The 15,880-nt window shown below is 36.6% G+C and overlaps 1 protein-coding gene across 11 annotated transcripts in view; it reads left to right on the top strand.

The window, feature by feature from the left end:
* Positions 1-15,880, top strand: part of DNAH7 (dynein axonemal heavy chain 7) — a 331,135-nt gene that overhangs the window by 13,755 nt on the left and 301,500 nt on the right. For all 11 annotated transcript variants that reach the window (XR_922968.4, XM_011511488.4, XM_017004504.3 and 8 more), the window contains 3 exons: positions 3,834-3,896; positions 6,679-6,787; positions 7,584-7,731. Coding sequence is in view for 10 of the 11 variants with exons in the window: in XM_011511488.4 (XP_011509790.1) it covers positions 3,834-3,896; positions 6,679-6,787; positions 7,584-7,731 (320 nt within the window). In the remaining variant the exon portion in view is untranslated. The remainder of the gene's footprint in view (positions 1-3,833; positions 3,897-6,678; positions 6,788-7,583; positions 7,732-15,880) is intronic.

The following is a 15,880-nucleotide window of genomic DNA, read 5'->3' as shown; positions in this document are numbered from 1 at the left end:
GTGCCCAGCCTCACCATTTTATGATTTTCTAAGATAAAGCTAAAATGACTTTAAAGTCAGTTTTCCCATTGTATTAGTTCCTTCTCATGCTGCTATGAAGAAATACCCGAAACTGGGTAATTTGTGAAGAGAAGAGCTTTAGTTGACTCACAGTTCCACATGGCTGGGGAGGCCTCAGGAAACTTACAAACATCGTGGAAAGGGAAGCAACTTTCTTCTTCACATGGTGGCAGGAGACAAGAGGGAGAAGAATGAGAGCCAAGTGAAGGGGAAGCCCCTTATAAAACCATCAGATTTTGTGAGAACTCACTATCACAAGACTAGCATGGGGGAAACTGCTCCCATGATTCAATTACCTCCCACCCAGGTCCCTCCCATGACACATAGGGATTATGGGAACTATAATTCAAGATGAGATTTGGGTTGGGACACAGCCAAACCATGTCACTCATCTCTATAAGACTGATTTAGTAGGTGGAGGTGGGGTGGGGTGAGGGGTTAGGAGAACAGTATAGGTAGGTGTACACATAATTCATATATCAGAATATATTTTATTTATTTAAAGACAGGTGTCTCTCTGTTGCCCAGGCTGGAGTGCAGTAGTGCAGTCTTGGCTCATGGCAACCTCCACCTCCTGTGCTCAAGCAATCCTCCCTCCTCAGCCTCCTGAGTAACCGGGACCACAGGCACCACCATACCCAGGTTATTTTTGTGTATCTGTTTTGGTAGAGATGGAGTTTCACCATGTTGCCCAGGCTGGTCTTGAACTCCTGAGCTCAAGCACTCCGCTCCCCTTTGCCTCCCAAAGTGCTAGGATTACAGGCATGAGCCATCACACCCAGCCAAAAATAATTTAAACAATAAAGAATGCTATGCATCTTCAAAGGAGATTACTTACAGTTGGAGTTAAGAAATGAAATGTAAACTTTTTCGATTTTGGTCTTAAAGGGCTAGATTTTAACAGGGAGATATTTTGGAACCTATTGGTGGCTCTGACAGGGTAATTAATACTATCTGACAAAACAAATGGAAGTCGAAATCTCAGAGACTTAACCCAACAAAGATTAGGCCTTGCTCACATGAAGTCTGACGAGGGTCAGGTAGCGCTGCATCTTATAGCTATGCCAGTGGGAACACATGGGCTTCATGGGTGTGAGATAGTGATGGAGGAAGCACACCAGCTCTTAACTCCCTGTCCCTCTAGCTCTTAACTGCCTGTCCCTCTAGCACTTAACTGTGTTTCCTGTTGTGCTCACATTTCACTAGCCACACAAATCATATGGCTACAAAGTAACTAAGAGAAGCTGGAAAATAGTTTGGAGTATGTTGAGGAAGGCTTTGGACACCAAGAAGAGTTGTGCCTACTTCAACAGGGGGCTTTAAAATGTTTCTGAACAGGGGAGCAGTATGATCAGAGCAGTGCCTTTGAGAGGTAGAGGTGACCTTTTGTTACCAGCATTTTCTGTAAATCCAGGCCCATGTCTCCTGTTGCCTATATTATTCTTAAAAACCTGCTAAACTAGCCTCACTGCTGACTCTAGTCCCCTGCTTCTCATGTATCCTGTTTGTATCATCAGAACCATTTATGAAATAGCTTTTGTATGTCTCTACATCATAAACAGGATAGCATTATAATTTATCATCTAAACTAAGATGCCATTGAGAGCGAAAGTTCTACTAGTTATGCTTGGGCAAACTGAGACTAAAGGTGTAAACTGAGACTGTCTTCCGCAAACTGAGACTAAAGTTCACCCTAAAAGGAGACTGCAGTGGCTCTCTATTGCCAGCCTGGCCAGTCAAGCCCTGAAACCCATGTCCTCCTTAATATAACAGCACCCACTTGTCTAGCTCTAGTTTGTTCTTCCCCTACCTTTTATTCAGGTTCCTATTCAAACATAACCTCTGCAGAGAGGGTCTTACTACTCCATCTACCTAGCACTTTTCCACTCCTTCCCTCTCTGTTCCTTCACACTGTTTTATTATTCTTCATTGTACATACTAGTTTCTGAGATTATGTTATAGATCTGTTCTGAAATAACTGTACCTCCTCTAGAATGTGTACTCCATAAGCAGAGGGACTTAGTCCTTTCCACGACTATGGACTAGGTATCTTAGTCTGTAGTCCTATGACTTAGTCTATGAGCCCAGCACATGGTAGGAGCTGGTGAACCATTGTTGAGTTAGGGAATGGATTACCTTCCCCATCCACTCCAACATAGCCTCAAAGCCTGCCATTGACATTTAGACTCCAATTCTTGATGCGCCCTCTGACTTCAGTAAGCTCTTTGCTGTCCTTCTCTGTGGAGATCCAGGTATGCTTTAAGGCTTAGCTCCACCCTTTTTCTTTTTGAAACGTTCTTAGAATACTCTGCTCCACATCCTGTCCTAGATGGAAGCACATGGTCTTTAATATTAACTGGACTGTGTGCTTTGTGAAGGCAGAGACTACATGATTTCTTATCTACGTAATAGGCATAAAAGTGGTACAACAGTATTTACCCCACAGCGTATAGAATATTAAAGGTGTTAATTCATGTAAGCTTCTTAGAACAATGTGGAACACATATGGTAATCAACATAAAATATGCTCTAATCAATATATAAACATTGATAATTTACATTCTTTGTGTTTTGTACTAAGTCTTCAACATCTAGTACATATTTTAAACTTAAACACATCTCACTTCAGAGGAGCCGCATTTCAAGTGTTTGGTAGTTACAGGGGGCTAGTGCATACTGTTTTGGACAGCACAGCCCTGAAGAATAGAGGAATAGCAGATATAAGGAGCAGCCACTCCCTCTAGGTCTGAGAGAGAGTGCTCAAGGAACAAACTTGGAAGAGCCGTCCCTTCCCCAAAGCCTTAGATTCAGACCTCATGGGAGATGTGGCTGTGGCCCACTGGATGACAAAGACATTTGCTGAAGAGCTGCAGGTCTGGGCTGGGAGGTGAAAACCACCTACTGGGATCCTGAAAGTTTGAAAGGAAGTCTCTGTCTGTGGTATAAGTGAGACTTGTGGAAAGTTGCTGTCAACTTGCAATATAAGCATACAAGTAAAAAGGTTTTATTTGAGAATAATATACAGGAAGTGAGATTGCAATCCAGGACTTACGTACAGACTAGGGTGGCCTCCAGTATGTCTGGAGAACAAGTTAAATGATTAGGGTTTAATTGGGGAAAGAGGAGGTTATACAAGTTGTTCTGAAAGAAAGTTTATTGGCACTGGCAGTGTCTTACAAGAGCTGGCGAGTTTTGATTGGTGAGTGTCAGTAGTTCCTAGGTAGAACTTGTTATTTTTTATTTATTTTTTTTTCTTGAGACAGAGTGTTGCTCTGTCGCCCAGGCTGGAGTGCAGTGGTGCGATCTCTGCTCACTGCAACCTCCGCCTCCTGGGTTCACGCCATTCTCCTGCCTCAGTCTCCCAAGTAGCTGGGACTACAGGCACCCACCACCACGCCCGGCTAATTTTTTGTATTTTTAGTAGAGACGGGGTTTCACCATGTTAGCCAGGATGGTCTCGATCTCCTGACCTTGTGATCCGCCCACCTCAGCCTCCCAGAGTGCTGGGATTACAGCCACCGCGCCTGGCCGGTTTTGCATACTTTTTAAAGCTTTCTGATAAGTATTGCTGGATATAATTTTCCTTTATTTTCTTGCTCTAAAGAAAACAATTCTGAGACAAACCTGAGAATTTAAAAAGCAGTAAAGTTTATCTTTGAATATGTTGGATAATATGTACTTTTTAAATAGTCTTTCTGTAAAATTTGGTTCAGTGAATCAATTTTAGCACTAACAGAGTAAACACTTTTTTCCCCTTCATATTTTTCACACAGGAGAAATTAGCCAGCAAAGAAAAGTTCAAGGCACCAGCAAGAGCTTTACCACAGCTGTCTATGGTAACTTATCCAAATATATTCTCATTGAATTTTTGTGCTTCAAAAAATGTTTATTAGTTTTCTAACTTGAAAATAAGTAAGCAAATTCCTGCTCCATTTGATTCTTTTCTGATGGAGAAATTCTATGAGGTGTGCATATTAGGACAAATAACTATCTTAGTAAAGTAACCATAAGCTATAATTACCTGTATATGTAGAATATTTCAGTATTCTGAATGAACGACTTGCCAAGATTGGTTAGCAAAAGGAGTATTAGCGTTGGAGTAAATAAAAAAGGGCTTGGGGTAAAGCTTTGCCTCTAATGGCTCTGTGCCCTTTGGGGAGTCACTTACCTCTTGAGCCTCAGTTTCTGAGTTTGAAAATGAGCTGAGTTGATTTGATGATCTTCAAGGAGATGGGTCTTCCAGCAGAAAAATGCTGTACTACAAAATATTTCTTAGATTTTGGAATCTTTTTTCATTATTTTGACTATAAAGTGTCATTGTCTTGTGGAAGAGGCAGTTAATAGACATTTTCAGTTGATAAAGCCCTGTACAAGTTAGATTTTAATGTAATAAAATTTATTGTCTAGTAATTATGTGGAGTTTAATGCCACCAAGTTACAGTCTTGTGACTCCTGAAAGTTAAATTTAAGGGGAGGGTCAATGCAAATATTATTATTTTTTAAAAAAATTGATAAAATATACATAACATAAAATTTACCATTTTAACCATTTTTAAGTATTCAGTGACATTCAGTACATTCACATTGTTGTATAATTATTACTACCACTCATCTCCAGAACTCTTTTCATCTGACTAAACAGCAACCCTGTCCGTTAAACAATGACTCCCCATTTTCCCCTCCCCCACCTCCTGGCAAACCACCATTCTACTTCTTGTCTCTATGTATTTGACTACTCTAGGTATTTCATATTGGTGGAATCATACAATATTTGTCCTTTTATGCCTGGCTTATTTCACTTAACATAATGTCTTCAGGGTTCATCCAAAGCATTATTTGCTTTGAAAGATATTTTAAAAGCTGAGAACAAACTATAGAATTGAATTTGTGTTGCTTTGTACAGAGAATATTACTGATAATTTGAAATGAAGGACAGTTTCGCTTAGGAAACTTGAACTAACATTGTTAGATTAATTATATTGAACATTTAAAAATACAAATCTTAATTGAAAATATGCTTTTATTGATAATGGCAAATTATTGTAAAATGCCTGCAGAATCGAGCCATAGCATGTTTTCTCTAGTTCTGCAAAATCCCTCTTAATTTTCTAGTGTAAAAGATAAAAAACTGAAATGGAATAGACATTTTTTAGTTTGTTGCAGATTGTTAGTTTACAGATGTAGAAATATAAACTTAATTTAAATTTTCTTATCGAATATCTATGGCTGAGACGCATAATAATTCTTGCTTGTGGGCGAAGCATATAATCATCTAAAATGCTTTTATTGACTGATGTAAACCTGGTTTTGTATTCATATTTGGCTGTGTCTTGCAATTTTTCCTCAGCATTCTTTGAGTCTTATGGGTTTTAAGGGAAATCATATTTTCAACAGATATTTAGAAAATGAGCTATGGATTATTTTTTTAAAACTACTTTTATTTGAATACAGTATTAAGGTTTGTACCTGGATAGAAGTTCTCCAGCAGTAATTACGACCTGGAGTGATTTTCTTTACAGACTTCAGGCTTCTAGAGGTGACCCCTGTAGTTGAAATCAAGAATGATCTGGCACTGGTGGCTCCCAGCCTCTGTGACCTGATTCTCACCCTTTCTGTACAACTCCTCGTAGCGCTTCTATGAGTTTTAAAACTTTTATGGAGCAAGACGAGAGTTGAGAAATGGGAAGGGCGGGTGGAAAATGGAAGAGCACTGTCTTACATGTTTTCTTATCCTATTTTCCTGTGTAAGAGGTAACTAAAATAAGGACTTGTGTACAGGTAGTTTATTAGGGAAGTGGAAGTAAGAGATTAGGGAGAGTAAAACTAGGCAGAAAGAGAAGCCAGTACAGACATGGACTTTTAAGTTGGTTTGGATTTGAAAGGGAGAGACAGACTAAATTGTGCTAAAAATATATAGATTTTACTTTAAAATCCGACTGTCTGGGTTTGTTGAAGAACCATAGGCTTCAGCAACAGTAGGTTTGTGTTCTGGTATTGCAATAATTGGCTTGAGCTAATTAGTCATTGCGTTTTTAGAAGATGAAGGTGCTCTCTCCTCTGCCACAGTCCTCACCACACACTGTTGTTTCCCAACATGGAGCCTGAGTGCCAGGAACCTATCATCATTAGCCTTCTCCCTTTTTATGACACCTGCCAAAATTGTGTATGTATAATAATTTGTCACCCCTGCCTGAAACAATGGAATACATTTGTGAGTTGTCAGAGCAATCTAGGGTGGTTTACAGCCATGAGAACAGGAAGACCTTTTGGAGCTGGAATGCAGAGGAGACCAGCAGAGAGCACTTCTCATTAAAATAGAAGGTTTAAAGACACTTGACAATATCTGGGGATGAGGAGTAGCCTCTCTAGAATGAAGACCCTGGTTTTAGGTAACAGGCATTCACATCCAACCAACAGCAGGACTTTTGTTAATGTCCCCCAAATGGTGCACACCATGACCATTCACAGGCTTGAATAAGATCTACTGTTGAGTATTTTCTATCCAGATGTTCTGATCTGTTTGAGAAAATGTCTGTGTTTATAAACACTCGTGCATTTCATGGAAAAAGGTTTTTTTCTGATATTGTTTGTTAATGCTATTTAAATTTTGTATTTTAGGTGAGTACAAAGCCCCACTGGCAGCAGGCAGCTCCATCATTCCATTTGAGTGTAAAGCAGGATGATGAGAGTCCAGAACCATTTAGTGTTAAAAATGAACAGTCCCATGGTAAGAACTTCAATATTCTAAATTAGATTTAAGGATAATTTGTAGAGAGAGACCAGACAATATTTAGTTAATAGTGTAATAGAAGTACAAAACCTGAATGACATTAATGTCAAGTAGAAAAAAATTTTCCCAATACATCTTCCCTCAGAAAATAATTGATTGTAGTTCTCAGTTATTTTAGGCTGTTGTAAATGCTATAAGAGCTGATATTTTAGGAATTGGGTTGTTGATACTAAAACGTTTATTTATTGTGGTCAGAATTTGCCTCTACATCAAAGACTGAGATTTTTATAAGAGAGATTTTAATAAATTATATTTCTTTTTAAAATTTTTTGTGGGTTTTAATAAATTGTGAACATGACTTCCAAATTAGTCATTTTAATGTTTTTATTATTTTGACTCATTAAATGTAGTGTTTATCAGATTGATTACAGTTAATATTAACTTTTTGTCATGGTTCTTTAAAATTTCTCAAATAGTTTTGTATCCTGTTTTTATCATAATTTTAATGTTCACTTTTAGAGAATCATATGTAAATATAATAGAAAATTTTATTAGTATATTAATCAAAATATAAATCAGTGGAATATTCTTGAAATAGATGTTTCTAGTTATGATGATACAAAAGAGGAGTAGTTTAACCTCCTGATAGTAAAAAAAAAAAATTATACTTAGGATTACTTGATAATGTAATTTTTTATTAAAAGGTGATTTAGCATCTTATTTTAAGCATGTGAAATGCTTTAGCTTACCTTTTAGATGAATAATTGTGCTTTTTTTTTTGTTTTAATTTAAGCTGAATACATGGAACGTTTTGGAAAAAAGGGCAAATTACCCCACCAAGTTGATGATAGTTATGTTGGACCATCTACTTCCAAATCAAAGGGCAAATCTCCACATAAAGAACGAGAAAACTTTAGAAGTACTCTTGTTAATGTCATTATGTAAGTTGTATAGGCTAACCATTACGTGTTACCCATGTTAGAGCCCCTGGCAACGTTTAACCTAAGAATATTAGAATTCTGTGCATCTCTAAGGGTGCCTCAAAGGCTTGTTGGAATGAGGTCAGAGTATAAATAAAGAATGAAAGAGATTGAGTTTAACCCTGTTAAGTGTGTTCCACTTCTAAATATCATGAGTTGTAAAGGTAGCAATGTTAATACTTAATGTTGGCTGAATTTCTGGGAGTTCTTATTATAGCCATGGTAGCCAGTGGAGGATTCTAGCAGGTTTTTTTTCCCCAATCTCATCTGCTCAGGTGATGGGGGTGACTTTTCCGGCATTGTGATTCTCCTTGTATAGAAAAGGAATTGGGGTGAAATGGTCAGCAGTGTGTGCAGGGCCTGGTCTTACCTGGGTCTCACTGTTTCAGGACAGTTCATAAAGAGCAAGGCAGATGCAAGTCACCAGCTCTTCTTTGCCTTGTTTCCACACCGCTTTGTGCTAGTTGCTTAGTATTCTCTTTAGTTTCGTTATGATTCTCAGGGTGTACACCATTTGTGGGACGAGTGGGGTTTCATGACCCATTGTGGTAAGTAACTCACTCACAGGACCCTGTTCTACTGTCCCATGTGGGACTTTACTGGCTAGATGGTCATCTTGAAGGGAGGACAGTGGGTACTGAGTGCTTACAAGGCTAAAAAGGAGTGTATCGGAGTCCCATGCAGCTGGGTTGAGCGTATGTGCTTCTTCTAGAGTGGTTTCGAGTTTGCTTTTGCCAGGTGCCACTAGGATGCTACCAGCTTTCCCCACTTATATTGTTTTCTTGACTTAAGCACTCTCAGATCAAACAAGCAGTATGATCAACACCCAAATCAATGGAGGGTAGACCTCTGGTTACAAATTTTTAGAAGAATTTTTTTTTTTCTACCTGGAGCCCTGCCCAAGAAAGATAAGCTTTCTTGACACAACTTCCTGTGCCTGTTATTTTTAGTCTTCCCTTATTTGAGGGTAGGGCAGATCTTGTTTCAGCTTTATACAGGATTTCAGTTGGAATTCCCCATTTCACTCAGGCCTATGGCATCATCTTCTTCCCCATATGGGCATGAAAATCCAAGGCCCTGCCCCCATAAGGGCAGCCGTAGCCTTAGGATGGCCATGCCTGTCTACTTAATTTATTTTCCTCCTGATTTTTCTGTTTCTTTCTTGTAAGCTCAGCTATACATTTAAAAGGAGCTTTGTGATATACTATCCAGTATTTATACAATTGTACTGGGAGGTTTTTTTTTTGTTTCTGTGTTGTAAGAAACAGAAGTCTATTTTAACCATCTTTTGTCATTTTTTCTGTTTTGCCTTTTATAAACAGGATATAGATGGACTTACTGAAATTCAATCTTAGAGTTCTGTGCTTTAATAGCTTGTTTAATCCCGTTTGTATTTATTGGTATTTCTCATATATGTGGACTTCTACCAATGTATTTTATGTTTCCTATTTATCATATGTTGCTTTTGCTTATTTTTTTCTCTTTTTCTGCTTTCTGTTGAATTTTCTCTATTCTTCCTTTATTTTTATTGGTTTAGAAGCTATGAAATATATTTCTGTTCTTTTAATGGTTACCCTAACATTTAAAACTACATATTTAATTTATATTTCTTAAGGTTGAAAATTCATTTTTTTCTATCTTCCTTCTGAATAACACACAAAGACCTTAACATGATTTAATTTAGCTCTGAGCTTTCCTTTGTATTTTCTATGTGATTATTGTTTAATATTTCAGTTCCACCAAGTCCTTAAGTACCCATATTCTCTCTCTCTCTCTGTATTTTTTTTAAGTTAACACTTAGATTTACTAACATGTTTTCAAAATTTTTAGAAAGTTGCTTTTGCATTCCACTCCTCATTTCTGGGTTCATTTTCTTTTTTGCTGAAGTTTGTCTCTTAGTAGTTTGCTCTTTCTTTCTGCCTTTCTTTCTTTGTCTCTCTCTGTCTCCTTTCTTCCTTCCTTCCCTCCCTCCCTTCCTCCCTCTTTTATTCTTTCCTCTTTTTTTTCTTTTTTCTTTTCTTTCTCCTCCCTCCTTCCCTTTCATTCCCTTCCCTTCTTCTTTTTCTTCCCTCCCTCTCTTTCTTCTTCTCCTTCTCCTCCTCCTCCTCCTTTTCCTCCTCCTTCTCCTCTTCTCTTCCTCCTCCTCCTCCTTCTTCTCCTCCTCCTTCTCCTCCTCCTCCATCTCCTCTTCCTCCTCCTCCTCCTCCTTCACCTTCTCCTTCTTTTCTTCTCTCCCTCTCTTTTTTGAGACAGAATCTCATCCTCTTGCCCAGGCTGGAGTGCAGTGGCATGATCATGCCTCACTCCAGACTTAGACACCCTGGGCTCAGATGTTTCTCCCACCTCAGCCTCCTGACTAAGGCACGTGCCACAACACCTGACTAATTTTTTGTATTATTATTATTTTTTGTAGAGATGGGGTTGCACCATGTTGCCCAGGCTGGTGTCAAACTCCTGGGCTCAAGTGGTCCCCTACCTCAACCTCTCAGAGTGCTGGGATTATAGGTGTGAGCCACTGTGTCTGACCAGTAGTTCTTTCAATGAGAATAAAGAGTAGTAAATTCCAGATATTCATGTCTATAAAGGTCTCAATTTCATCCTTTTTCTTGAATTAATGGTTAAGTTGGCTGTAGAATTAAAGAATAATAGCAGTTTTCCCCTGTACATCTGGGAAATTATAGATTGAAAAATATTAATGATTACCTTTTTAAAATTATTATTTCAGTAGTTTTTGGGGAAACAGGTGGTGTTTGGTTACATGGGTAAATTCGTTAGTGGTGATTTCTGAGATTTTGGTGCACTCATCATCTAAACAGTGTACACTGTACCCAATGTGTAGTCTTTTATCCCTCACCCCCCTGCACCCTTTCCCCCTTGAGTCTCCAGAGTCCATGATATCATTCTTATGCCTTTGTGTCCTCATAGCTTAGGTCCCACATATGAGTGAGAACATTCGATGTTTGGATTTCCATTCCTGAGTTACTTCACTTAGAATAATGGTCACCAACTCCATCCACGTTGCTGCAAATGCTGTTATTTTATTCCTTTTTAGTAGTATTCCATGGTGTATGTGTGTGTGTATGTATACACACACACACACACACACACATATATATATATATAAACATTTTTTTATCCACTCATTGATTGATGAGCATTTAGGCTGGTTCCATATTTTTACAATTGTGAATTTTGCTGCTATAAACGTGTGTGCAAGTGTCTTTTTTATATAATGACTTATTTTCCTCTGGGTAGATACTGAGTAATGGGATTGCTTCATCGAATGATAGTTCTATCTTTAGTTCTTTAAGGAATCTCCATACTGTTTTCTATAGTAGTCGTAGTAGTTTACATTCCCACTAGCAGTGTAAAAGTGTTCCCTTTTCAACACATCCACGCCAACATCTATTATTTTTTGATTTTTAAATTATGGCCATTCTTGCAGGAGTAAAGTGGTATTGCATTGTGGTTTCGATTTGCATTTCCCCAATAATTAGGGATGTTGAGTATTTTTTCATATGCTTTCTGGCCATTTGCATATCTTCTTTTGAAAATTGTCTATTCATGTCCTTAGCCCACTTTTGATGGGATTTTTTTTCTTCCTGATTTTTTGAGTTCCTTATAGATTCTGGGTATTAGTCCTCTGTCAGATGCATAGTTTGCGAATTTATTCTCCCACTCTGGGTTGTCTGTTTTCTCTGCTGATTACTTCTTTTGCTGTGCAGGAGCTTTTTAGTTTAATTAGGTCCCATCTATTTATCTTTGTTTCTGTTGCATGTACTTTTGGATTCTTGGTCATGAACTCTTTGCCTAAGCTAATATCCAGAAGTTTTTCTGATGTAATCTTCTAGAATTTTTATGGTTTCAGATCTTAGATTTAAGTCTTTGATCCATCTTGGGTTGATTTTTGTATAAGGCGAGAGATAACCATTATGTTTTGGCATGCATTGTTGACGAGAACCCTATGTGACTTTATTTGTCATTATTTTGTTGGTAATCTGTCTTGGTTCTCTCTAACCTTTTTTGGGGGGAACATTTTATTTTCAAAGCCTCACAGATAGGCTTTTTTTTCCCTTTTTTTAAAAAAAGCTTTGAGAGATAATTCACATGCCTCTAAATTGATCTATGTTAAATGTAAAACGTAGTGAGTTTTAGCAAATTTTTGTAGTTGCACAACCTTCACCAAAATCCAGTTTTAGAATACTTTTGTCATTCACAAAAGCTTCCACTTGCCCGTTTCAATTAATCCTCTTGCCCACTGGTTGCCCCAGGTAATCGCTAGTCTTCTTTCTATCTCTATACTTTTACCTTTTCTAAAATTTCATATAACTGCAATCATATATTTATTTCTGAGGTTTATTCATGGCATTTATTGTGTTTGGGTTTTGACTATTATGAATGATGCTGATGTGAACATTTGCATGCACGTCTTCTTGTGAACATACATTTTCATTTTTGCTGGGCAGATAGCTGAGTGTAGAATGAAGAGTTGTATAGTAGGTATATGTTCAACTTTTTAAGACATGCTAAATTGTTTTCCAAGCTGCTGTACATTTTCTATTCCTACAAACAACAAATGAAGAAGTTTCTAGTTTCTCCACCTTACCCACATTTTGTTTTTATTTTGTTTTGACACTGTAGCCATTCTAGTAGATGTGTTTTATCTTATTATGACTTTAAGTTGATTTCCCTAATGACTAATATTGGGTATCATTTTTTGTGCTTGTTTGACATTCATGTATCTTCTTTGATGAGGTGCCTATTTAAATATTTGGCCCTTTTTTTATTGCGTAGTTTGCTGCTGCTGTATGCATTGGAAGAGTTCTTTATGTATTTCCTTTACAAGTCCATTTCAGATATCTTTTGCAAATATTATCTCCCAGTTTGTGCCTTATCTTTTCACACTATTGGTACATAATAATTTTATATATTTATGGGATACATGTAATATTTCAATATATGTCTACAATCAAATCGGGGTAATTGGGATATCTGTCCCCTCAAATATTTATTATTTCTTTGTGCAGATAACTCTTTGATATACTTATTTTCTTTATTTCGAATATATACACAGCAATAGGATTTCTGGATCATATAGTATTCTGTAATTACTTTTGCAACAATCTAATAATTCTATGTTTAGTTTTTAAAGGAACTTCCATACTGTTTCCTATATTGGCTGTACTAATTTACATTCCCACCAACAATGTGTGTGTGAATTCTCTTTCTCTACATCCTTGCCCACATCTGTTATTTTTTGTCTTTTTGATAATAGCCATTTTAACTGGGGTAAAATAATATCTCATTGTGGTTTTGCTTTGCATTTCCCTGGTGATTAGAGATGTTGAGCAAGTTTTCACACATCTGTTGGCCATATGTACATCTTCTTTGGAGAAATATCTATTTGGATCATTTGCCCATTTTTAATCAAATTATTATTATTATTATTATTTGTTGTTGAGTTGTTTGAGTTCCTTATATATTCTGGTTATTAATCCCTTATCCCTTGTCTATGGATAGTTTGCAAATATTTTCTCCCATTCTGTGGGTTTTCTCTTCATTCTGTTGATTGTTTCTTTTGCTATGCAAATATTTTTAGCTTGATATAATCTTGTTTTTCTTTTGTTGCTTATGCTTTCGAGGTCTTACCCCAAAAAATCTTTGCCCAGACCAATCTCCTGAAGCATTTTTCCAATGTTTTCTTCTAGTACTTTCATAGTTTCAGGTCTTAGATTTAAGTCTTTAATCCATTTTCATTTTATTTTTGTAGATGGTGAGAGATAGGGTCTAGTTTTATTCTTCATATGGATACCCAGTTTCCCCAGCACCATTTATTGAAGAGGCTGTCCTTTCCCCAATTTATGTTTTTGGCACCTTTGTCAAAAATGAGTTGAATATAAATGCATGGATTTATTTATGCTTTCTCTATTCTTTTCCACAGGTCTAAGTGTCTGTTTTTATATCAGCATTATGCTGTTTTGGTTACTATAGCTTTGTACTGTATTTTGAAGTCTGGTAGTGTGATTCCTCCATTTTTGGTCTTTTTGTTGTTGTTGTTGTTAAGGATTAGGGCTATTTGGGGTCTTTTGTGGTTCCATATAAATTTTAGGATTGTTTTTTCTATGTCTGTGAAGAGTGTCATTTGTATTTTGATAGGGAGTGTATTGAATGTATAGATTGCTTTGGGCAGTATGGACATTTTAACAATAATAATTTTTCCAATCCATGATTGCTTTGCATTTTTTAAGGGATTTTCTTCAATTTATTTTTTTCAGTGTTTTTTATTTTTCATTGTAGAGATCTTTCACTTTTTGATTAAATTTCTTCCTAGGTAATTAGTTTCTTAGCTGTTATAAATTGGATTGCTTTCTTTTTCTGAATGTTTGCTATTGGTATATTGAAATGCTACTGAGTTTTGTATGTTGATTTTGTATCTTGCAGCTTTGCTGAAATCATTTATCAGTTCTAACAATTTTTGGGTGGAGTCCTTTTTTTTCTTTCTAAATATAAGATCATGTCATTTGCAAACAAGAACAATTTGACTTCTACCTTTCCAATTAGGATGCCCTTTCTTTATCTTGTGTAATTGCTCTGGCTAAGACTTCTGGTACAATGTTGAATAAAAGTGGTGAAAGTGGCAACCTTCTCTTGTTCCAGATCTTACAGAAAACTATTTTAATTTATCCCCATTTAGTATGATGAAAGCTGCAGATTTGTCATATATGGCCTTTATTGTTTTGTGGTATGTTCCTTCTGTACCAAGGTTGTGGAGAGTTTTTTCACAAAGGCATGTTGAATTTTATCAAATGCTTTTTCCACATCTATTAAGATGATTGTATGGTTTCTCTTTCTTTGGTTGATGTGGTGTATCACATATATTGATTTATGAATGTTGAACCATCCTTGCATTCCTAGAATATATCCCCCTTGATTGTGGATTGTGGTATATTATCTTTTTGATGTATTATTGGATTTGGTTTTGGTATTTTGGTGAGGATTTTTGTGTCTATGTTCCTCAGGAATATTGACCTGTAGTTTTCTCCTTTTGTTGTATCTGTATCTGGTTTTGGTATCAAGGTAATGCTTACCTTGTAGAATGAGTTAGGAAAAATTCCTTTCTCTTCAAGTTTTTGGAATAGTTTGAGAAAAATTGGTGTTAGTACTTTAAAATTTTCATAGAATTCAGCAGTAAAGTTATCCAGTGTTGGGCTTTTCTTTTTGGGGAGACTTTTTATTACTGTTTCAATCTCATTACTCATTATTTGTCTGTGCAAATAATTTTGTTACTGATTCAATCTCATTACTCATTATTTGTCTATTTCTTCCCTGGTTCAATATTGGTAGGTTATATGTGTCTAGGGATGTGTCTATTTTTTCTGGGTTTTTGAATTTATTGTTGTGTAGTTGTTGATCATAATAGTCTTTAATGATTTTTTCTTAGTCTAGTTAGTGGTTTGTCAATTTTATTTATCTTTTTAAAAAACTAAATTTTGAAATCTTTTTTTTGTCTTTTTTTTTTTTTTTGAGGCAGAATCTCACTCTGTTGAGTACAGTGATGTAACCTAGGCTCACTCCAACCTCCACCTCCTGGGTTCAAGTGCTTCTCATGCCTCAACCTCCTAAGTAGCTGAGATAACAGGAACACACCTCCACCCCCAGCTAATTTTTTCTATTTTTAGCAGAGACAGGGTTTTGCCACGTTGGCCAGGCTAGTCTCTAACTCCTGGCCTCAAGTGATCCAGCTGCCTTGGCTTCCCAAAGTGCTGGGATTACAGGCGTGAACCACTGCACCTGGATTTTGGTCTCTTATTTAGTTCTACTCTGGTCTTTATTATTTCTTCTACTAATTTTGGATTTGATTTGTTCTTGCTTTTCTATTTCCTTAAGGTATGTTTTTATGTTGTTTATTTGAAATCTATTTTTTATGGGTTTCTTACTATAAACTTCCCTTCTAGCACTGCTTTTGCTGTATTCCATAGGTTTTAGTATACTATGTTTTCATTTTTATTTGTTTCAAGAAATTTTTTATTTCCATCTTAATGTTTTCATTGATCCAGTGGTTGCTTGGTATTTAATGTCCCTGTATTTGTACTGTTTTCAAAGTTGCTCT

The sequence above is a fragment of the Homo sapiens genome, chromosome 2, assembly GCF_000001405.40.
Source record: "Homo sapiens chromosome 2, GRCh38.p14 Primary Assembly".
Taxonomy (NCBI): domain Eukaryota; kingdom Metazoa; phylum Chordata; class Mammalia; order Primates; family Hominidae; genus Homo; species Homo sapiens.
The sequence above is the reverse complement of the archived record's forward strand: the minus strand, read 5'-3'. Positions and strand labels throughout refer to the sequence as shown.